General features: G+C 36.6%; 1 protein-coding gene across 17 annotated transcripts in view, besides 1 other annotated feature; it reads left to right on the top strand.

The window, feature by feature from the left end:
* ZNF385D (zinc finger protein 385D) overlaps positions 1-25,601 on the top strand; it is a 960,546-nt gene that overhangs the window by 694,018 nt on the left and 240,927 nt on the right. For 16 of the 17 annotated variants that reach the window (NM_024697.3, XM_017007192.2, XM_017007191.2 and 13 more), the window contains one exon: positions 13,718-13,860. The exons of the other annotated variant lie outside the window; for it this stretch is intronic. In NM_024697.3, coding sequence (NP_078973.1) covers positions 13,718-13,860 — 143 coding nt within the window. The remainder of the gene's footprint in view (positions 1-13,717; positions 13,861-25,601) is intronic. 17 annotated transcript variants of the gene reach the window in all.
* Positions 21,163-21,363: a silencer, noted in NCBI's record as "peak4572 fragment used in MPRA reporter construct". NCBI's record gives its function as "represses an SCP1 promoter by STARR-seq MPRAs in K562 erythroleukemia cells {active_cell/tissue: K562}" and the evidence as "EXISTENCE:reporter gene assay evidence [ECO:0000049][PMID:32103011]".

Genomic DNA, 25,601 nt, shown 5'->3' with positions numbered 1-25,601 from the left:
AAGCCGTGCTTCTTACAGAATTTCTCTCCCCTCTCAGCAGGCATTCCTGCTCAAAGCAATTTGACTCATTCTGTTTGTTCTTCCTTTGGGATTAATGTCCGTTCAAAAGCACAAAATAATCTTTACAATTTAAGTCAAACAGGCCCATGAATTTGAAGGGACTAACTCCAATTCCTGAGGCTGTGATCAGAGCCCCTTCTCCAGTTTCCTTTTAGGGTTATTTGTTGTTGCGTTTTCTACAAAACGTTTGGGTTTACAGTGATTAGGTCACTTCACGAACTTCTACTGTCTAAGACATATCAATAAAGAAGAATAGCTGTGAGGGAGTTGTATATTCTCAAGGCATTCAGTCACATTGGAATCATGAGCGAATCTCAGGTAGATTTACCAGGTCAACACTGGCTGTTGCAGAATGTCCAGGAATGAAAGTCTCCCATTTACTGAGTTACAAATGTAGGTCTCCAGTTATCTTCATAACCTGGGCAAGCTTTGACAGACAAATCAGATGCCTTTCTTAGTCCTCTCACTGGATTCTAACCAAAAGATGATTGGACACTTTGCCAGAGGTATAAGGAAACTGTCAGCATTATTCTATTGTCTGTCTTCCAAGACTTACAGAGAGGTTTGGATGCCCTAATGTTGAGGGTTTGTGTCGGGGATAGCAAACTGTGATTAACTGGATTAGATACTGGTATGTTGTGTTAAGGAGGATTCTGAGGCCAACTGGAAATATAATTGATGAATAATATATGCCCTGAGTACTAGAAGGGGAGTGGTATAATGGATTCTTATACTTGGCTTATGGGGACAATACAGATAATATGATTTTTACAAAGAACGAGCATTAAAATCAATCAACCTATGTACGCATAGGTTGAATTAGCTGCTACAGAGTACTTAATTTCATAGATTCCCCAGTTTCCACAACTAAAAAACTAAATTATTAAGGACTAACAGAATTGCTATGAAAATTAACAGCCTATGTATATATGAACTACTCAAAATTTAGAGTGGTTATTATTATTATTTTACTGGTTATTATTATTTGAAATTAGGACTGCTTTAAATAATTCAGTCTATATGATCCCCCACACACTAGCAGAATACAATTTCATTACCAGAATATTTTACTCTAATTGTTAAATTAAATTTCTCTCTTAGAAATTTATTTAGGCCTGTGCTTTTCTAGACTCCCAAATTCTAAGGAATAGTAAGAACATGAGCTTCTAGTGAATCTGCAGCCAAAGAAAAATCAGATGCAATTTCTGTGGCATTCTGCATTAGTTAGTTAATTCTGGCTCAGCCTGAGTTGAGCAAAATGGATGGGAATTAGTTGTACAAGTCAAGATGTATATGTGCCTCATGCCAAGCTCCAGATTTGTATATTTAGGCTGCAATTCACAAGAGGGTGAGAACATGATGATGTCAACCAGAAAAACCTGTGTTTTCTCATTAACCTTGGCCTCTGATCTTGGACTTCTGGTCAGTGCTGGGATTCTCAGGGCCCAGGGACCCTCCCAAAAGCTGCCTCAGATTTAGCCTTTAATGCTCATTATCTCCACTGACATGGCCCCCAGCAATGACAAGTCCCACTGATTATTTGCGTCCCTTTCATGTTAGTTTAGCTTTAATCCTTGTGTTTAACTGCACTATTTTACGATGTCTTTCCTTTTATCATAATATAGATGTCCCTTTCCTTATGTGTTGCATTGGTGATAGCTCCTTAACCCTGATATGAGGACTTTCTTCTACCTGGGGCTATAAGCAGTTTCTCTTTTTTTCTGGATTTGTAAATCCTATATCTGCTGCCTTCTGGCCATTTGAATGTGAAAATGCAGGTCCTTTCCTTGGAGGACATTTCTGCTCCTATCAGTTGTTCTTTCAATTTGGTGGAAATCAGGACTTGGTAGATATTTGAAAAGGAGAGAGGTATAATACAATAAAAAAAAAAATACATATGGGCTTTGAAATCATCCCTATCTGGTTTCTAATTCTACCTAGCTCTACCATTTAGCGAGTGGTTTATCTTGAGTAAGATGATCTTGCTAAACCTCCTTTTCTTCACCTGTAAAATGAAAATAAGGATATCTTCATTGTTTATACAAATAATGTATGTAAAGTTATCCAGCAAAGAACCTAGACCATAATATAGGCTCAAAGGGACAGGACTCCTTATAAAAATAAAATATGGTTGTGTGGATCTTCTTGCTTACAATCATTTAATAGGCATTTTATTTCTCTTCCATTTAAAGTAAATCCTTTTTGGGATTCCACAATTACTACAATTCCATTAGGAACTGATTTTACATCTTCTCCAAAGACTAAATGTTTCAGAATTAAAAGAAAATATAAAGTAAGGTTTGTTTTAAGCACAACCTGCCAGAAGAAACAATCACATTGAGGCCGAGACTAAACAGAGCTCAAGTCAGCTCCGCAGGGAATGTTCTTAAGGAAATTGAAATCAGAGTATCTTTTTGGTATTATAGAGTTTGTAAGAATGTTCACCAAAGCAATGGAATCCAAGAACTCACAGTTCCTAAACCTTGGAAGCTAATGGGTACTGCAAATGCTAGAGATGTGCTAAATATAGGCCCTTAAAACAGTGACAGTGTGGTATTCACTGTTCTTAATAAATTTTATTTAATTTGATGCTGGTGACAGTGACATGCCAACAACAGTTAGGTTTCCTAGGAATTTTGTGCCATGGTCTTTATGAAATAACATTAGATTAAAATGTGGAAAAAATCACAACGGAACGTTGAGTGAAAACATTCACAATCAAGTGAATGTTCTTAGAGCTATCATCATTAAGTAGAATTAGTTACGTTGAATGCAAACTTAGTTTCTATTTTGTTCTTCTAAACTATGCAGGCAAAATAAAAGGGACAATTGAATAAATAATGAGTTGATACAAAAAGAATACAAATCTAATACCTATGGAAAAACACATGGTTATCTGGTAGACTCAACATATGGATAATCTACAATATACTGGATTATAAACATGATAAACTTGTGGAGGCAAGATGCTTATGAAATTGCTTTTTGAATAATCCTTTGCCTTACAAATGATCGCCTCTTAGTATATACTGATTTGACTTGCTCTGGCAAAGTTTAATTGAAACTAGCTTTTTGTTTATACATTTTTTCTCTACCACCTTTCATCAAAAAAGGGCAATCTCTGAACAAAATGTAGATATAAGAACTTACACTCTGGAAGCAGAATGTTTTTGGACAAATCCTGGCTCTACCACTTACTAACTGCATGAACTTGAGCAATTGTTTTAACCTTACTACTGCTCCATTTCTTTATTCACTAGACTATTAAAAGATCAAAGGAGCTATCCTACAGAGGACCCAGTACAGTACCCAGTGTATGGAAGCAGAAATAATATTGCTTTTATGCCACGGGAATCAAGGGGAGTTGTTTATGAGATAGCATAAATTTACACCTAAAAATGAAATCCATGTTTAAGAAAGATAGAGGAAAAGATGTTAATAAAATAAAAAGCCTAGGACTTAGTGTGTTTGGGCCATTTATTTTTCTGAAGAAAACAATAATGGGAGCTTAATTGCACTAAAAATCTTTGATAAAATGTTTCTCACCTTTTAGCAGTACACTCCAATAAACTCTGATAGTTTAATCCGCTTTTCTTTTCTAGTTCTTCAAAGAAGCTGCTGGTTTGTAAATGTACACCATTGTTAATTTGGACACAATAAAAAAATGGGTACAATATCTCAGCAGGCTGTGATGATTCAGCTTCATGTATTCATTTGTTTGCTCACTCATTTTTCCATCCATCCATCCATGCATCCATCCATCCATCCATCCATCCATCCATCCATCCATTTCTAAAACAATACACAAGTCACTTAATAGATACCAGGAACCTCCTAATATATAGAAGTCAAGAATGAATGGAACAGATATTCTTCTTAACAAACAGCTTCCTCATATAGGGAGACAGATACAAAGTCAAGTAAGTCTAGTAATGTTGGCTAGAAGGAAGCCTGTGCAGGCCAGAGCAGGGCACCAGGGAGTGATCTTTCTACAGAGATGTCCAGGAAATACTGAATAGAGTAACTCGTGTTTGAGCTGCATCCTGCACCAGGAATAGATGATTGGTTTTCTTAGTAATACTTTGATGTAGGTTTCAAGAGCAAGTTGGGTGCAATGTAACTTAGATAACACAAATTACATTGCTTACTATGCTTTCAGGGGTTATAATTTACATTTTATGATTCACATTTTGGGGTCTAAATTGCTAGTTGAAATGTGACATTCCAAAAGTGAGTTTTATTAGATATTCTGGATTGAATCAGTTCCTTTCTATGCCTATCAGGCTTATTTACCCATATGTATAGTGTCCCACTCTACTTTTCCTTCCCAGTCAAAGTGGAGAAAATAATTGTCTCCATTGGTCTCCATTATGATACCCTCACTCATTCCTCACCCTCCTCAAAAGTGGCTTCTCTGTAATGCGACCCACATAAATGACTGCACTTAAATGGCTCGTAAAGGTCACCAAAAATCTCCATGACATTAAATCTATCAGACATTACCATCTTACTTGATCCTTCTGCAGCCTGAGACAATGTTGACCATTCTTTCCTTTTCTAAACAGTCTCTCCCTTTTGCCCAGCCCCACTGGCACAGAGAAGTTCGTGCAGGCAAGTCTCAGTTAAGAGGTACAGATCATGAGTAAACAAGACCATGTAACAAGATTTTAGCATTATTTTTTCTTTTTAAAGAGTGAGATGACCAAAGCCTAGATATCATGGGTAAAATTTCCCTGAGAGACAGATGTAGTAAGCCAGGTTTAACTGCATACATTAGCTTAGTTTAAACACTTGCCATTAATGAGACTAGATTTTGACACAATTTGTTGGCAGAAATGAAAACTTTGTGATTGTACTTCCAAGGGTTATCAGATACTAATAAACACTCCTTTGCCCTATGACTGGCTCCTTTATGCGTGCTTGGTTCAAAAATGTGATATTATTTTTATCTAAAGCACACATTATTCATTAGTGTTTACTTAATCATTAACTTTTTAAAAATTTGGTTTGTTCTTTGAGTATGATCATCATTGCTCACACATGAAGATTCATAGACTGCCATGGTCATCTCTAGAAATGGACGATGATTTCTTTCTGGCATGGTCCCAACGGTGTCTGGCTTCTGACAGTGACACATTCAGCTCTGAGAAAACTCTTCTCCTCAATCTGAAAAGTCAAAGGACCCAGGAGAAAGCAAGAGTTTCTCTCCCATTAGCAATTCATTTTGAAACAGACTGTATCAAGCATCTTATCTGTAAATTATTTGCTGCTTGAGAACATTGCTTTGCACTGGAGCTGTAATGTCCAATAGCACCTTCTGTGAGAATGGAAGTGTTTTATATGTGCAGTGTACAATACAGAAGCCTCTAGCCCCATGTGGCTATCAGACGTTTGAAATGCGGCTAGTGTGACTGATAACTGAATTTTTTTTATTGTACTAATTTTAATTCATTCAAATTTAAAATAGTCACATGTGACTGTCAATGGCCACCATATTAGACATCCCAGCATGATACCTCTTTTATTAGTTATGATTCATGGTGTGAAATTTAATTTTAAGAAATTCCTCTGGAGGGAAATTTTGTGATTTTATATTCTATATCACTAGCAGTAAACTTGAGAGGAATATTCCAGGCAAAATCTTTTGATTTCCTATAAAGCAGGCACCTGTCCTGAATTATTCACTGTCTACCTGACAAAGGGGCTGCAGTACAGAGGGATATTTGGGGTTAAATATTTAAAACTCCTTGCCTGATACTCCTAACATAATTTTTCTCTAGTATGTTTCAGGCACCAGAAATTGTCATCAAAGTTAGTTAAATAAGTGAGAGATCCCGTTTTTCTTCTAGTGGAGACCTTGATTCAGGATATTGGCAACTGGATAATTATCAGTGTTTTGATTTTGGTCGTGGCATTTAATGACAGTGACAGATAAAATATTATTAGTGCTTCTTTCCTAGCTTCCTTCCAAGTGTGTTGAGGTGACTTACTGGAATATTTAAATACCACAACTGAAAATGAATAAATAATTTGGACAAGGGGAAACCCAGATCACTTCCATGTGATTTCCTTCATGGGAAAAGATCGAATCACTGACCATTGACATGGGCAAATGTTTTTGAATCAGTATTTCCAGAATGGAGCTCCAATTGCCCTGACTCATACTCCCATTCTCACCTCATTCCTCTCTGTGGTCATAAGCAGGATGTATGAGACAGCAGTCACCATCCTGTGTGGATTAGGGCTGACAACTTGCCCTTATGGGATCAGACCTTGAGTTTCAACATTTGAGTTGACCTGCTAAGGCCAGTTCACTTTAGGTCAATGAGGAGCTTTATAGTAAGTGCTGGATCAACTTTCTGAAACCTAGTCAGTGAATCAACAATCCAAAACAGAGGAGAGGGGCGGGGAGAAAAAAAGAAAAGAAAAGAAAAAAAGAAACAACGAAAGAAAAATGGTTACCAAATCATACTAAATTCAAATATTATGTCAAAATATGTTTTTAGTTATATCATTCTGTTGACAGAGATGGGAACTGGATGGAGTTTGGATGACTGAGGTTTAAGGAAATATGGGTAAACATACAATTTTCCTGGACAAAGAGTAAAAAATCCCAACAGGAAAATTGCTCATTGTTATCCCCAACCAACAACCTTGAATATTTGAGAGGCAGACATGCAAGGGAATGTGACAAACACATATTTATTTATCCGATTTGGTCAGCAGATGTTAAAGAATGTAAATTTGAGGGGTTTTGAAACATATTTGATATGATACTCATATCTTTCTGGATTCTTCTTCAAATATAAGGCAGTGCCAGCATGTTCCCATGCTGGGGATAAAAATCAGCGATAAATACTGAATATTCCTTCACAAGGAATGTGACCCTTCTTTCCTTCCTTCCTTCCTTCCACCTTCCTTTCATAAAAACCTCTCATAAGATAGCTGGCTTTAACAAATTATGTCTCGGAACTAATTTGACAAAATGATTCTGTAAGGTGTATTTTTTAAATTGTTGTTTTGTTTTGTTTTTATCATATTGTTGTTTTAGTTCAAAAGCTATTTGTATCAGTGCATTAAAAATCATTAGAGTTGTTCAGTTTCTTTCTGGTAAGATATTTTGCTTCCTAGAAGCTTGGCTTTTGATTTTATACATTGGATATTATAAGAGATACCTGGCAGAATTGTGTGTTTTAAAGGAATTAAGAGGATAGAAGGCTAATCCATGCCAATTAATGAATAGATATATTAAATTATCTATATTCTCTAGCTTTACTCCCACCCTGGCTGGCCAATTCCATTAACTACAGCACTCCATGGCCAATGTTTTGGCCAAATCAAGTTTTGCTTTTTTAACTGAAGAATGATGATATTCTTAAATTTGGAAAGGAGAGCTTTATTTTTCATAAACGTTTGCAGCCTGCAGGCTGGCCATTCTGACAGGCGGGGAAGCATAGCCTCCAACCAGAAGCCAGAAACAGACACTTCAAGGAAGGGACGAAGGGAACAGGAATTTATGCTGAAAGAGGTGGCCAAATACATGTGTAATATGCTATAAAAGGAGCCATGAATATTTATGAAAGTAGAAGATGTACATGCACAACTGAGCTTTATGCCTCTCCGTGGGACCTGTGTTCAAAAAATGGCGATGTTAGCATGATCCAAGGCTGAAGTCTGGAGCCCTCTGATGTCAAATAGGGTAGCAGAGGACACAAAAACCTTCACTGCGTATTCTCCCTAGACTGAGCAAGAAGCACTCTGCCATCGGTGGTCTCTTACCCACAAGGAATGCTGGTCCATTTTTTTTGTGGAAACTTAAAACGGAGCAGCATCAGTTGTTTGGTTGAAAGGGCTAGTTTCTGGTTAGCCCATAAGGAAGAAAGGCTAATGGCTGTTAGTGAGGGAGGGGGTATAAGTAGGCGTGTCTGATCTCCCATCCCTTCATGGCTGGGAACTCAGTTTTCAAGGTTTCTTTGGGTTCTCCTTGGCCAAAGGGGATTCGTTCAGTCATTGGGGGGGGGGGGGGGGGGGGGGGCGCCTTAGGATTTCATTTTTATTTCTCAGCATTTATGCCGTTATTTATTTTCGACTTCTTATTAGTAGGATCAGATCTAAAGTTTTTATGCCTACTATCACATAGACCTCTGAATTCCTATAGTGAGTCCCTCTCTTGCCCGGTGGACATAGCAAATTCTAACTGAAATATTTGAAAATGGATTTGAATAATTCTCCATGTATGTCAAATTAGTTGCTTATTAAATAACTACTTAGGATCTAATATTATACAAAATGCTCTGTATGATTTCCTGCTATATGTGAATGTTTGGAGGAGTTTAGTAATGTAATCATAGCTTATTATTGAAAAACACATAATTTCAACATAAGTATTTATGTCAATATAAATAAGTGCATATATATTTTAATATAAATAAGTATATATATTTCAATACAGATAAGTTGATGATGTAGGGAAAAGATACTAAAGATACTATAGAAATGATCCTATCAGGAAATTAGATGTTTCTGCTGTTTTCTATCAATATATATATGTTTTAATGATGCACGAAATTCTCCATTGGCATGAATATTTAACAGTGGCAATCCGTGATCATTTTGAACTTCAGTTTTGTCACCTGGGGAAATGAAAGATTAAGTAGTAGATTAAGGTTAAGATTAAGATGAAGTTGTCAGGCAGGATGTCTGTGACTGACGAATGCTGAATGGATTGAGTGCAGAAGTTCAAGGTTAAAAGCGTTGTATTATGGAGAGAAAACCACCGCACTCTCATGGAGTATTTCAATATATTAATTTACAAAGTAACCTCTTATTGTGATCATTCTTCTGAGGCAGTCAAGATAAGCGAAGAGAAAAAAATGAAGGTAGCTTTAAAATTATCTTGATTGACTGCTTTCAGAAAGCCTAAGTAGCTGCTTTGGAAGTTCTTCGGTTCATTAAAAAATATATTTCTCATGTGGTGAGCGCCAGTTGGCCAGGCACTGTGTTAGGGCACTTTATATATATTATCTAATACAGTAAATTTCCACTGACAACCACTGGTTTAGAGTTCCTATTTATCTGTATGAATTATCAAAACAAACATGTCTAAATTTACATATTAATTTGCTTTTCAAAAATGCAAACTTCTGAAATGAATGTGTCTTACTTTCTCAGTCTCTATTAACAAATACTTAGGAATTAGTAACTCTGTTTTTGTTTTTTCATATTCACAAGTTAGTACTTTTGTGAATATACGGCCCTTTTAAATTGACCGAAACAACATTTATTATGTTTATTCTATAGTTCGCATTTGAAACTTAAATTCTAAACATATGCTAACAAAAACATCAAAAAAGGAGGGAGAAGAATTTTGTGAACATTAATGATCACTTAGTTTACATTAATTATTCAGTACCTTATTCAGTATTGATTGCTATTCTGTACTAATAAATGCTTTTGTCATTTGTTGACTTTAATGTCACACAACAAATTTTGGTGTAGAGATAGTAACTTCTCTGAAATCAGACTAATTTGTTAAAACTGTGTAATAAAATAGCATAGGCTATGAAATATGTGGTACTAGACATAGAGTTTATATATTTTTCTGACCCTACTCCATGGAGGCTTTAAAAGACCTGCTTCAATTAAGAATATTAATATTTCCAGAAATGTGGCATTCCAATGAATAAAGTGACATTGTTGGTAAACATTAAGAACAAAACTTTCTCACCTATAGAAATGTCTACAAATCTATTATACATTTTCATGTTTATAGTTATCAAGATAATTTTATGATAAGTAAAATAATAAACATTTATTCATACCTTAGATGCAATAGTTTCTATTTAAATATGGGAAAACGAAATAGCTATTTTCTCAAAGAGAATATTTTACTTTGCTTTACAGATGAAACATATTATATTTGCCGGTTTTGATTTTGCACTATTTGCAAATAGTATTCTTGTTGCTGAGCAAGTACAGATTGGTACAAGTAAAATATTTTAGGACTAATCCAGATTTCAAAAGCAGAAATGTTAGTCACAGATAATTTTTAAGAAGTAGCTTCGATTTCGTGCCTCAATATCAGTGCTATAGGTTTGGAGGCAAGCATCTATTTTAGAATAAAGCAATTTTTCATTTTACTTAAACACCTGAATTGCTGTATCCTGGTGTCACAGATCAAGTTATTCTGAAAGTGAGCTCTGAGACTTTATTAGGGAGTGCTCATGGAAACATCATTTGTGAGACGTGAGGGATATAGGATTGGGAAGAGGAAGGAGCTGGACTGTGATGTAGTCACAGCAGAGGCCTCAGCCTACCCTAGATGCCATGAGGAACTTTGGAGGTAAAATAGAGCTTCAGAGTTTTCCTGCTTTGAGGCAAGGGGGCAAAGCCAGTAAACTCCTGCATGAATCAGTCATTGCTTGGGGCTATCAACTCCTCCACTTAAGGGTCACCTTAGGTAAGGCAGCTCCCTTTGGCCCAGGGCAATTTGTAAAGAGGCTCTCAGGCCAGGGACATCAGCCACCAGCACTCCAAGCAGCTGAGAGGAGTGCCTTGGTGCCGAAGGGGGTTCTGGGAATCAGACCCACAGCATCCCTACACCTGTATTTGCATAGCAGATAGTCTAAAAATATGTAGACACATGTCCTCTGCTTTCCTACAATCTTATACATTGCTCTCTTCCAACAGGTGAGAAGAGATGAGCTTAAATATTTTTTCGAACTTTCTAAGGTTTTTATGACTCTTCTTTGAAGGTTTTTTTAACCCCTAGGAAGGAAACTCCAGTTGCAACACTGAGAGAGGACCTTGAACTGTTTATACAAGTATAAATGAAATAGATATCCTAAAAGAGAGAATGGGAAATTAAATTTACATGATAATTGAATGGACATATTTTTATTATTTATATCTCTCATTGTGCTAGATAAAAAATCAGCTTGAGCTATTCCTTAACTTCTTTGGATACCCTAAACCAGAGGAGGACTTAAAATAAACAATTGTAGAATATTTTCTTGCTAAATTGCATTCTTGTAATTATAAGCATGGTATTTTCTGCGGAAGCAAGATAAACAACTGCAGAGTTTATCAACATATTTCTTTTTCTCTACATGATGTTATGTTGTTAACCCTTACCGAATTTCTGAAATCTTAGAATCAAACCAGGTGAATGTATATGAATATCATTTGCAAAGAATGATGTGTGACACAAATGAAAGTAATTTAGGGCCGGGCATGGTGGCTCACACCTGTAATCCCAGCACTTTGGGAGGCCGAGGTGGGTGGATTGCTTGAGCTCAGGAGTTTGAGACCAGCCTAGGCAACATAGCAAAAACCCGTCTCTACTGAAAGTACAAAAACTAGGTGGGCATGGTGGCATGCGCCTGTAGTCCCAGCCACTTGGGAGGCTGAGGTGAGAAGATCAGCTAAGCCCGGGAGGTTGAGGCTACAGTGAGCCATAATGGCACCACAGCACTCCAGCCTGGGAAACAAGAGTGAGATCCTGTCTCAAAAGCAACAACAAAAATAAAAGTAATTTAAAACTACTTCTTAAATTTCACCACATCACTGATTTCGACCAAATCTTACTTTACTTCTGAGTTTTTGTTTTTGAAATAGAGTCTTGCTCTGTCGCCCAGGCTGAAGTACAGTGGTGCGATCTCGGCTTACTGCAACCTCTGCCTCCTGGGTTCAAGTGATTCTTCTGCCTCAGCCTCCCAAGTAGCTGGGATTACAGGTGTGCACCCCACATTTGGCTAATTTTTGTATTTTTAGTAGAGATGGAGTTTCGCCGTGTTAGCCAGGCTGGTCTTGAACTCCTGACTTCAAGTGATCCATCCGCCTTGACCTTCCAAAGTGCTGGGATTACAGGCGTGAGCCACCACACCTGGCCTTACTTCTGAGTTTTTTAAAGATGTACCATCCAAAAATTTATTTTGGTTTTTAAAATTTTTAATAAAAGAGAAACTTTTAACAACACTAAACTCATGACAGGTCTATCACTAAAGTTTTATGGATGCCCTCTCTAAAAATGGTTACACACTCACACTCAATACACTACCAAGTGGACAATAAACTAAGTTTATAGTGTGTGTGCTCTGGTGAATGTAGACTTATTATATTTCGTTGTTATCTCTACTTGTTTTGACATCTGCCCTTTATTTACTGCCTTGTACTACTTTGAAAATTAGTTTACTGATTACAGACTTCAGTTATTGACTTTGCTATTGTTGGCCGTGCTATTATTATTTCAAGAAGGAAGGTAAGACAGTGGGGGAAAATACTGTTTTTCTTAATTTGGCTCCAGCTGATTTTATACCTGGGAGCAGGAGAGCTGATGGTTCTTGTGTATGGTTAATTAAATCCTGTGCTGATGGCTTCTGTTATAGGTACTAAGTCATCTACCTTGTTAGCAGATCCTCCGTGGCTCCATAGGGTTGGATTTATCATTGGGGAATCATTTTCAGAATGTTAATTTTGCGCTCTGGTAACTGATTGAGGGCAAGATGATGTTCTGTGTGCAGTTGGCCAGAGAGTTTGTTGTGAAATTTGCAAAGGCAATTTATACGAGGAGACTCACTCTACTTTGTTTTTAAAAACGAGATGGCAGGCAAGTAAGTGGCGCAAGCATGTCTCCTAGAATTCTTTACTGTTAGAGAGAAAAAAATCCCACTGCATTTTGCTTTCCTAATGCTTGTTGGATTCTCACCAGCAGGTTTTTACAGTCTGTTGCTTGCCTCTCAGATTAGAAGAATGCTGGCATATTTTAACAGTTTCCTAGGATTCAAACAGCCTTTAATTAACAGCAAATTGATGTTTTGGAATGTTACCAAAATATGGGAGACTGAACACTAAAGATGGGCTTCCATCCTTCCAGCTCCTGAGTGTGGCAGAGTCCTATAACGGGGCAAATGTATGTGCTCTCTTGCAAAAGGCTGGCTACTTACTGGCATGCAAAGGGGATGTCTTTGTTGGCATAATATTCCCACTGCCTGCTCAACAGTGGCCATCTAAATTCCACCTACTCATGACTGGGAGGGAGGCAGGGAGTTGTTGAATACTCAGAGCTGTAGGGGTGCTGAATAGTTCAGACATCGTCGTAGCACTGGTTTTGCTGGTTTTTAATCCTCCAGTTGCTAGAGCAGTAAGGTACAGCTGCCTGAGTTCGAGGTTAAATTTCTTTTATGTGCCAAGTTCATGTAATCTTGCTGCCAGAGTTTTGGATGTGGTAGCAAAGAGCAGTTCTGTAAAATAATCACTCAGACTTAATGCATATTGTGAGTGGTTTAGTTTTCAAAGAGGGATGGGTGCATGATGGAGGGGTTTTCCCTTTGAATTCAGAGATCTTGGTTGCAGATTTGTGACTGACCCAATCTGGAGCTCTAGGCAGGAAAATAAAGACAGGTTGGGGCATTTGAAATGTTGATGTTACTTACATAACCAGATAGTTATAATCAAAGGAAAATGGAGCAGTTCAACTAGCTCCCTCTGCCTAATGGCAAATTTGCTCATTGGCCGGTTCCCAGTTGAGGTCAATAGAGTCCATGTCTTGTTTTTTCCAGTGACCCACAAAGCTGGCCTTTTTTGTCTCAAAAGCAACTTTGGTGTTTTTTTCCATGCGTGGTGTCCCTGATTGCTCCCTTTGCTCTGGTCTTCACAGGTGGTACATGCCAGAGTCCTGCTCTCCCGGCCCTTGTCCGTCCACCAGCCCCTCCTTTGCAACCATCGCTGGATATTAAACCATTTCTTCCCTTTCCTCTTGACACTGCAGCTGCAGTCAACCTCTTCCCCAATTTCAATGCGGTAAGTACCTGCCAAATTTGTCTTTGCCTGAGTGGAAGGTATTGGAAAACTAACTTAAAGGCCAGGGTTGGTTCGGCCACTGCCTCCATTTTGCTATATTGTTCATTGCATGGTTTGTCTAGAAGCCATAATGAAGTTAGTTGTTTGCTTGGTTAGGCAAAATCCCCAGAACCAGGCTCCTTCAAGGAAAATAAAAAGAGATTCGATCCGATTCGGTTGATCATGAGTTGATGTATCCCCTCTAGTGTCTTCTGGGCAACAGCAACAATTCTATAGCTTTGTAGGTATACATCCATATTGAAACAATGTATTTATTAGAGAGAACATTAGAATTTCAGCAGGTATTTAAAAATTAAAAATGTGTTTCTTCTATCTATTTTAATTTCCAAATCTGTTACGTTTTTCTAACTTAATAAATAGGACCTTGACAATGGCAGCAGTGATTATGTTTTAAGTATACAGCACTTTCTTCCCACCATTAACTTAAAACAACTCAGGGTTCTGGTAGCAAGAGTTTTAGTGTGTGTTATTGTTGCCCAAGTTAACTCTCATATTTCTTTGTTTCTTTGGGCTTTGTCAATAGCCTCTCAGCACAGGTTCAATTACTTTCTTGCCTCTGTTTTCACTTTTAAGACGTCTTTTTGTAAGTTGGCAGATGCATCATTTTCACCATCGTGTGTTTCTTTTTCTGCGATCAGTAAGAGTATTCTTAGGATGAAAATTGAAATAAGGGTTGAAAAGGTTAGAAACGAGTAAGTGACTTTTTTTTTTTTTAATATTATCTTTTCAGCCTTCAGATAACAACAGTGGTTGTTAAAAGGCAAGTCTGAGCTTGTCAATGACAGGACATGTCAATGCAACCAAAGCAGAAAGGATTAACATGAGAGGTCACTCAATGTCCAGTGATCTAAATAACACAGCTTTCTTGTTGCAATATCTTGTCCCCATGATGGATTTAAATAAATAAATATATATATATATATATATATATATATTCGGCCCACAATTAAATAATTCTTCAGGAGATAGCAGTGGGTCTTATTTTCCTTAACAGTACTTTGTCACATGGCCTTTGGACATGTCAATGAGTCAGTACAGCTATATGCTAGTCCTTGCTAAAAGACAAGGGAGAATCAAAATGATCCCTTTGCTTTTTGTAGGGAGAGGAATTTTCCATACGAATCTCGTTTTGAAATTGATATCTCATAAATAAAGCAACATAAAGGTCACCTTTACAAAACACAGGTTTCTAATCCTAGGTGTTTCATTAAGAGTAGAGGAAACCTTGCTCAGCATCAAATTCCCTTATTCCTAAATGACTACACTGAAATCCCCTGGGTTCCCTTTCCTTGATTTCTTGCCTGCTCTTCTGTTAAGTGGTTTCCTGGCACAGCCTTGTGTCCCAGACACCCAGGGGAATTACCCATCAAGGTGCTTTTTCTGGCCTCTGAGACCACTTGGCATCCCATCACTGCGGTCCCATGTCAGCTTAAGAGCATTTTAGGTAAAATTCCTGGAAGGCCATAAAAGGCTGGATTTAAAACTTTTGATTTGCCTCTTGGGAAATATTAATAACAAAGTGGTTAACTTGACTGACAATGAATATCATTTAACATAAAACAAAGATGAGTGATGTGTTGAGCTACATGATCCTGAGCAAATCTCTTTACCTTCTTTGCTGCTATTTCCTCATCTTTAAAATAAAAGGTATGATAGTCTCTTTATTGGGAGGTTATACCATTCAGAGATTTGTGGGTTTTTTTCATGGGCAAAGGCAGCGTTGTGTGTTGGTCAAGCTGAACTCTGTAGCTACACTAAGTTCAAATCTCAGAACTGCCTGTTACCATCGATAAGACCTTGGAAGGGTCACAAAACTCCCATGTGTCATCAAGTCTTCATCCACATAATGGGACTAATAATATAATACGCCTCATAAGTCTGTGGTAAGGGTTGTGTGGGTTAATCGTTTAGAATGGGGCTTGGTATATAACAAGCACTATTTAAGTGATAAGCAGCATGCTCATAAGCAGCTTGTAAACCCTTCTGATTCTGAAAATGTGACAGTTCCTTGTCTAACTGATTGCAAAAGTTTGACTTGATTCTTTTTCCTCCATCATGGATTTTAACTTGTGTTGATATTTATTCTACTTAAACCAAGAGGCCCTCTGTTGCTCCAACTGTTGCTTTTTCCTTGGTTATTCCCTTCCAGTGATGGTCAAGGTATAGCCAGCCAAGGATGAAGTCATTCCTTGCTTCCAACTGAAGTGAATTGTTGGAAAGCCCATAATCAGGTAGCTTTTGACTCAGAATTAGGGCACAGAGCATTTCCTTCAGTAACAGTCTGAGTTCTTGATTTTATAGCAGATATGAATCAAAACCCAAAAATTCGGTATGTATAAAACGTAATTTTTACTGCCATAAATTGACTTTATTTCTCATTCAAGAGAGCCCATTTCATCAGGCTGGAGGGAAATCCACTCTAATTTTGTTTCAGGGTATGCTAAGGTTTTGGACTCCAACAATTATCTAACAGGTTATAAGGCTTTGGTGGGAGACTTCCTCTGATCATCAAGTTATTTATCCACATAGGCATTCATGAGATGGTCAGCACCTGGCTAGCATGACCCTTTAGGCACCTGGCTCTCAGCTTTTTCTGTGCCACGCTTAGACACACAAACTTTGCAAGGCAGTCAGCAGTCCCTCCTACCTAGATCCACAATACAGCTATCCCTTCTTTGATGATAAGTGATGAACTCTGCCACCCAACAACTTTTACCCATATGACCTTTATAAAGCAAAGTCCATGATGATCAGAGACTCTCTGCCTGGTGATCAGAGACTATATTCTTCCCCTGAGGATATGAATATGCAGTCATCTCTCTGTTTGGGATAGAGTTGGCAGAAACATAAAGGAAAAATTTTAAAATGTATACTTATAAAATGTATAAAAAATATAAGTGGATATCTCTTATTATTGTCTTCCACAAGAGCATAAACCATGAAGTTTGGGTGTGAATCAGCAAGAATGAAACGTCTATAAAAGTAAGCATAGTTAGGAGGGGAAGGAAAGATGTAGAATCAGAGCTGAGTTATAGGTATAAAATAAGACATTCAATGAGACTATCAGGATCCCTTAGTCTCCTCAAAGCCAACTTTTAAGGAGCCACAACAGAAGCTATTCCCTAGAAATGTATCCCTTGATGTTCTAGTAGCTTTCACACAAAAGATAGCTTTCCTTGAATTCCTCACGTATTTCCCAGCCTGCCCTTTAATCTCTTAAGACATTAGAGTTTCAGTGCTTAAAAATATTCTGATCCCAGTGATCCTCTTCTGAATTTGTATTTCTTGAAAGAGAACAGTCATGGGAGTAGATAGATGATGTTTAGGAAGAAATATTAGAAAGGGGTTTGAGCTTAGTTCATTCAGTCAACTGCTAGTTATTCAGCAGCTGCATCATTATGTGCCAGAAACAGTGAAAACAGATTATGTTATGACCTCTGCCATGAAAACAATTCAGTTTGTAAAGGTGAAGTTGACAAATAAGGAAATTTTTGTTAATAAAGTGTGTTTATACAGAAAGATGTACAGCATAGAATGTTAGCTTGAGTACAGGAGCAAATGGCTGTATGGTTGTCTTAGTGAGGGTTGGGTGAAAAAAATACAAACTATTCCAGGCATTCGAATGGGAAATAATTTAAGGATTTAGGTGCATACAAAACCATTGGGAGTATTCGACAAACAGGTCAGAGAAGACTGTTGCTAGCTCTCGTTTTTTTCCGTTCTCTTTCATGGAGTCATGGAGTTGCAGACACAGGACACTCAGTAATCCCAGTTATTTCCATCCACATTCTGTGAAATATTTCTTTTCAGTGGCGTCTAATATACCTGGGCACTGTTGGCAAGGATCCATGGGCATATAAGCCTCAGGCTTCCAGTCTCTGGGATGTAAAGCAGGGGTGGCCCTGGTGCTGAGATGCCAGTGATAGAATGAAAAGCACTATGCAGAATCAGAAAAGCTGACTGTCTCTGTAACTGTGGACAAAGGCTAAATCTATCAGAGCCCCAGTGTCCTGTACAATAAAATAACTAAACAAACAATTTAAAAGCCCAGACTCTTAGGTTTGTTATCAGAGGTATAGTTGGCTTTTAAAATGCTAGAGATCGAAGGAGAATGGCTTGGGCCAGACTTTGGGTTGTTGTTCAGAACAGAAGGTAATCATGAAAAAATGGCCACATTTTATGACAGTTTTCTCCTAGCGTCTCACCATTTCCCTTTTATTCTTTATTTCTCTAACATATGTATTTTCTTCATATTCTAACTCACAGTTGTGACAATAATAAACTTTTAGAATGTCACTGAAAAAGTACTACTTTTGGAGAATGTGTTCATGAGGACTGACTGAGCATGATACCATGCCCCCGTCCCCATGGCTCTATTTCCAGTTGGTATAAAGATTAAATGAGGAAAACTGACTTCCTGTGCCTGCAGATGCCAGATACTCAGTAAATATTTAGTTATTCTGCCTTCTAGGATATGCACAAGGAAGAGTGAGGAGGTCACATAGGAAGTAGAGAGGCAGAAAAAAGAGCAATAAAAGAGGATAACTTTTGCTTTAGCTAGCTTTGGCTGATGGTTCTTTAACATTAAAAATGTAAATTAGCATATGAAATTTTACTCTGTGCTGCTCCTCTGTATAATATGATTTTATCATGAAAGCAAAGAGAAAGAGCAAAGAGAGGAGGTGGGGAAGAGAGGGGGATAAAGAGAGAGAGACAGAGAGAGAGAGAGATCAAGTCCTAGCAGCTGACTCCTAGTTTTACAAAGGACCAACTGCTGGAAACTTGAGTGTACTGTGAGGTTGGGTTTTGATCAACAAGTCGAGGAGTTTTATCCATTGGAGGACAGAAAAGTGAAATTTATGTGATTTATAGCAGTGCTTCTCCTATGAAATCACAGGTAATCATGTTAAAAGTACAGATTCTGAATCAAAAGTTCTGGGGAGGGGCCTGAGATTTTGAACATATGTAGGCAGAGGGAGGGGAAGGCAGGAGAAAGATGAAATACATTGAACAATTTTTACACTCCCAGACAGTGGGGTTTTTAAAAATTTATTCAACAGATATTTATTGAATACCTACTATGTGTTAGGCCCTGAGGATTCAGTAGTGAAACTAGCAAACTAAATTCTTACAATTATGGAACTTACCTTCCGGTGTTTGTGTGGTGGGGTGTTGGGAAGAGGACAGACGGGGGAAATTTGAATTTTCTATAGGTGCAACTGTATCTCAAGAATGGTCCTCCTGTGGTTATATTTTAGCTTCCAGAAATGCTACGAGCCTTCCTTGTATGACATTGCTCAGGACTCTGGTTACAGCAGCCATTTATTGAACGCTTACTACATACCAGATACCACTTGCGTTTCAACTGATTACAGGCCAACATTTTTCTATGAAATTTTACAAGTTTTTATGTGTGTCATGATCTCAAAAATGTTGCTGAGGAAAACACATAGATGCGTATTTCATTTATTCATTCAATGATTTCTTCCTTTTACAAACTTTTGAGTCCTACTCAATAATTCTGTATATTGAAAAATGTGACTACTTAAAATAACTGCATTTGAAAGCACCTGTTAAAAACATAACATTAACAAATATAATGAAGAGTATGAGGAGGGAGAAGAGGTAATTTTTTACTGATTCACTTACTGGGCATTTATTAAGCACTGATAATGTGTCTGACAATAGTAGACACTAGAAATACGATGACAGTGATAACACTGAGAAAGAAGAAGAGAAGAAGCAGGATAGTGAGGAGGAGGAGAAAAAGGAGAAGAGGGAGGAGGAAAGGCAGAAGGAGGAGGAAGAATGGTTATCTATGAAGTTGACATAGTTGATTAGTACTCCTTTAAACATTCTCTTCTATCAGGTACTAGAAAAACACCTAGATGTTAATAGATTAAACTAAACAGTGTACTCTACACTGGCAGGTACCTCTAGAGTTTGCTTCATTTGTTGAAAATGGGGTGGAGTAGTTAAATCATTCTATAAAGAACTATAATTAAATGCTCAAAGTTCTTTAAAAGTAAATGCTACCTGAGTTCAAAGGAAGGAGAGGTCACTTGGAGGTGGCCAAGGAAAGCTATATGGTAAAGGTTAAGGTTTGCTTTGGAATCTGAGATAAATACCATATGCATATTTTTTATTAAGGTAACCATAGTATAGAACATGAAACATAGCAAAGACTCAACGCACATTTTTTTGAATGAATGAATAGAGTGGAATAGATAGATATATAGGTAGATAGGTAATAGATATAGATAAATAAAAAGACAGGAAAAACACATAACAGATAATTGATAGAAGAGAAATAGCCATAACATTTGTACCATAAGAAGTGTAATTGATGGAATTGTGTCAATAAGAAAGAAAAATTCTAAGCACTCACTGTTTTATGCATTAGATAACTGACATCTAACAGAAATTATTAATTTAATCACTTATTAGGAAAGAAAAGCAAGCATAGACTCGAGTCATCTCCTTAATTTGCATCTGTAATTTTAAGTTGGCTCATGTGTTTGTTTACTCTGGTTAATAAAAGGACAGTGATGTAAAAATCCCAGTGGTTGCCCAAAGAATGTACTTACAAATCAATTCTTTATAGTATTCATCAACTATTTTGTGTAAGTCCATAAAGGCTGTCATAGTGATAAAATGTTGGTGAGGTATTTTAGGACTCTAAGACAGCATTAAGTATGCTTAACATATAGAGATTATTCTAGAACTTTAGCTTAGATGTACACTTATAATATTACAGATAAAAATACAGAATCCAAGACAGAAAATTTCACGTTTTTATTATCTTTGGATATATACCCTTCAGAATCTTTGTCTCCTTCATCTTTAAAATGGAATTGGCACACTTTGTCTTCTTTCCTTTAAAAAATGATTCCTGTATAGTGCTCTCTTCTCTGGCTCTGTATTTTATTACCTGCTCCAGCTACGGAAATGCCTTCTTTCCCTCAGCCAGTGATAGAAACAGTGGTTAGGCACACTTCCATTTGTTTTGTTCAAAGAGATATTAATTAATTCAGTTTACACATTAATAACTATTCTTACTAAGTTTATACAACTGCTGCTACCACTAAAATAGGTAAGCAGCAAGGGAGAAATTTTAAGTAAAAAAAAAGCCTGTCTTTCTTAGACAGAAGCGGTAGATAAGTGGAAACTTTTCAGGTGAAAAATGCCGTCGTAAATACAGTATTGATTGCTATCTTCCTTGTCCTTTGAAGACAGATGTAGCAGATTGCTCTCTAGTTCTGTTCATTAACTGTGTCATATTTGTATAACACAAGCTTCTTAAGAAACAGCTGCTTATGAAGTCTTCTTTCATTATACGTTTCACACTGAAGCAGATATCTAAGCATGTTTGCTGAGTCCTGTAGCTTTCTGCAGAATGGAAAGTTTGTCAAAGTCAAATGTACTTATTATAGTGACCTCGAAGCACAAAATGACTTCAATATACACTATTCAGACTTAGAAACCAAAGGCTAAACAAATGCACAACGCATGAATATTTTTCTTATTTAATCCTTGTTTACTCTTTGAATAGGTAGCGCATTCTCCTCTGATTCAAAATCTAAAGAGAATGCAACAATTTCCTGACTGCTCTTCCCCTGCAACTTAGTTCTCTCTTAAGTGGCAAGCAATGTGGTAAATGGCTTTTGTATCTATCCTTCCAAAGATATTTGATTTATGCGTATGTTAATTGTTCTTCTCATTAAAGATCGAGGCATAATACACATTACACACACACACATCTATATATTTATATATAGATATCCTTTATGTAGTCAACCTAATCATAATGAGATGAGGCTTTGCAAGTAATATATTTGGCCTGTTTCCTACTGTGAGTTTCTTAGTAACTGGGATTTTGAGTAAATAAGAGGACCCAAATAAGAAAATATTGAAGCTTACACCTCATTTTGTGATCCAGTAGCTCTTTTGGAGACCTCTACTCCACACTTAGACATAGACATGTTAAAATGAAAGAATATTTTAGAGTTAATTTTTTTCTTCAACATGCTTATTTTACAGGTAAGCAAGCCTAGAGTTATTGAGTGATGTCCAGTTTCATGGCTAGCAAATGGCAAAACTAAGAGAAAACTGGGACTCCTGACATCTACTTCTCATGGAGATCCTAAATATTGAATAATAGTATTATGGGTTGAATTGTGTCCCTCAAATTTTCATATGTTGAAGCCATTACTCCTAGTGAATTAGAATGTGATCTTAATTGGAAATAGGGTCATTGAAGATGTAATTAGTTCAGATGAGATCATTAGAGTGGGCCCTAATTCATTATGACTGGTGTCCTTATAAAAAGGGAAAATTTGCACACAGAGACTTGCATTGAAGGAAAATAAAGTGAAGAGATTCAGGGAGAATGTCATCTACAACCAAGGAGACAGACATGGAACAGATCCTTCCCTAACAATCTTCAGAAGAAACCAACCCTGCTGACACCTTGATCTTGGATTTCTAGCCTCCAGAACCGTGAGACAATAAATGTGTGTTGTTGAAACCACCCAGTCTATGGTATTATTATGACAACCCTTAATAGGAAAAGGATATTTAGAGCCATCTGATCTGCCTACCCACACTTGCTGGAATTTCTTCTGCAATGTTCCTGACAACTGGTAATCCAGCTTCCTACCTGACTACATCCAGTGAAAGTATATAGGCCTACATGTGGGGTGAGAGACTCTATATTGTGGGTCATCTACATACAGTTGTAAGGGTAAGAAAGTTCTCTATTTGGAGCTAGTTTAGCACCCCCTACCCTGTAACTCTTATGAACCAAGGAAGTAAATACACGATATATTGCCTTTTTTAATAGGAAAAAAAATGTATTGATCATCAACTAAGTGACAAAGACTGTAGGGAAAACATTTTTATACCCATTATTTTTAAAATCTAATTTCATAAGAGCCTTGCATATTGCAGGTTATCTAAATGATACAGATAAGGAAGCTGAACTTAGAGAGAAAATTATTTTCCCCAAATCATACAAATGGTAAATCACTGAATCATGGCTAGATTTCAGATTCCTTGATCCAAGTTCAGTACAATTTGTTTTCAACATAGCTAGATGACCTCTTGTCTGCAAATGGTTGTAATTTTTTAAATCAGCTATATGAGCCTTGGTATACTTTAATAGCTAATTAACTTAATAATTTGGTATACCTCAAGGGACTTAACTGAGAAAGCAAAATATTTCCTGAATGAGAGTCTGGCTGTGATTGAATGACTATAAAAAAGAGCGTCTAGGACATCAGTGGACAGTAAAGATGCTGTCTAATGTCACCAGCACACGTATTTTTGCTGTATATGGCAATCATTGTCAGGGGAATAAATAACTTTAAATGTTAATAAATTAAAAAATACACTGCTATTTCAGTAACAATTTAGGCTTTGTAAAACTCAATATTCTTTTATACTATAGGGCATACATAAGAAAAAGCAACAACACTAAACTTTGAATCTAAAAGATTTGAGTTCTATGTTTAATACTTTACAGCCTAAGGCAAAAACGTGGAGCCTGCATTTTCTCATCTGTGAAACTAGAATAATCATATTGACCTTCTAGGAGTGAGTAAAGGTGTTGAAGGTTAGGAGAAACACAGAAATTGCAGGCATTGAGGAAGCCTATTGAACCAGAATCTCTGGTGTTGAAGCCTTAATAAGCATTTTGTTGTTGTTGTTGTTGTTTTTTGCACTTCCCCAAGGTGATTTCTTTGCCCTTTAAGTGTTGAGAGTCACTGTGTTCTACCTCATGGCCAAAATTAGTGGGAAAATCCATTTTCACAACTAAGTACAGATGAAAGAATAACTAACTTTCTCAGACTATCACTTGAGTAAAGTTGCCTCTTCCACATCTCCCTCCCACCAACGTAAATGTAAAGAACAATTACTCTTAGTAAAAGGAATGAGAACTTTTTGCCAGCAAGTATATTTGTTTCATGACTCAGTACTTCTCAAAGTGTGGTACACAGACCCATACTGATCTGAGAACTGTTTAATGGAAATTGAGAGTGAGCATTTAGAGGTATTTATAGCAACTTAACAGAGTAATTTCACATCTTTGAAAACCAATCAAGAATTATGGCTATATTTTGTAAGTCTATTTCATTTTATTTTTTCTGATAACTCATTTTTATTGTATTTTATAAAAGTATTGGTCTATGACTGATGGGGGTAGGGCTGGTCCTTCAGCAAAGATTGTTGAGAAGCACTGCTCTGTTTGTTGTATGTTTAGGATTTCATGGTTCCATTTACATGTAGAAAAGGAAGGGGAGTTTGAAGCAGTTATTTAGGTAATTCATATAACGTATGGTTGAGAGTCACAAGAACATTGTTACTGAAATTCCTTTAGCGCTACGTAATTTCTCTTATCCTGAAGAGGTGTGCCAATGTCAGATGGTTCTCTCTGAAGCTCATAAATCAAGACAGTAGTAGAGTAAAAGTAAGATAACTTGCATTTTGCCTTTCTTCGAAGTATAACCTCTTATTCCACATTTTATCTTGAGTTTGGGCAAATATTAAAATGATAAAATTAGTGGTTAATTCTTGAACGTCTTTCCCTGAATACTCTAAAATGAAATTTATTTCAAGGACCTGTCAAAGAATTTTAAGGGACTCAAATAAAAAATAGGTATTTTAAGTGACTATATATAGAGATAAGAAACTTTATTTTTTAATTTCTATATTCAAGTTTTTTTTTTAAATGGAAGGTAAAAGAAATGACAGTCCAGTTGTACAATAGATTGGGGCATTTTAAAGCAGTTTCTTTAAAGAAATCACATAGAAAAATAATCAGTTTTATCAAAACATCTTTATGTTCTTTAGAACATCTGTACATATGTACCATGTTAATGCTTCTGTGACTTTTACCACATAGTATGTTGCAAAGCAACAGTTTTTGCCTTCCAAAAAACCTGTGATATAAGACAGATAACCAGCGTTTTCTGCCACTTTCTAACATATATAGAATTTATGTACTCAGATAGATGGAGCTTTTGGAGCTCTATAAAGAAAATGCCTTTTTTTTTCCGGATAGTTCTACTTACTTTTTTTAGGTAAAAAAATTCATTAAGTACATATTTGATTTTTAGAATCACCTTAATTAGTTATGCTACCTATGAGGTGCTATTGACAGAATCTGGTTTTAAGAGCCTTGTTTGGAATGAGGCAGATAAATAATTATTTTGAGCTTCAAGTTTGTTTTTAATTTTACTTACCTAAAATCATAGTGAAAATTTTATAATTTTAGAGAGAAAAAACATACATATATTGTGTATATATACCTATGTATATGTATACATATGTTTATGCACATATGCAAGCTTCTTACTGTGGCTCATGGTTTAAAATACTGAGTGCAGGTATGTAGAAAAACTCTTTCTTACATATGTGTATCAGGAGACTTGGTTCAAAAATGTTCATTTTTGTTTTTAGTAGCAAAAAAAGAAACAATATAAACAATGGGAAACTGATATACTTCATTTATACATATATAGACATATATATACACACATATATACACATGTTAAGATCTAATTATAAAATATACCTTAAGAGACAACTGGAATGAAAGAATTATTTTTACATGGAAATATCACAAAAGCTCAGTGCTGCTGGGGGAAGAAACACCAGTTGCAAAATGTAATAGAATTATA

Source organism: Homo sapiens, chromosome 3, assembly GCF_000001405.40.
Source record: "Homo sapiens chromosome 3, GRCh38.p14 Primary Assembly".
NCBI lineage: Eukaryota > Metazoa > Chordata > Mammalia > Primates > Hominidae > Homo > Homo sapiens.
This window is presented reverse-complemented; position numbering and strand designations above follow the sequence as displayed.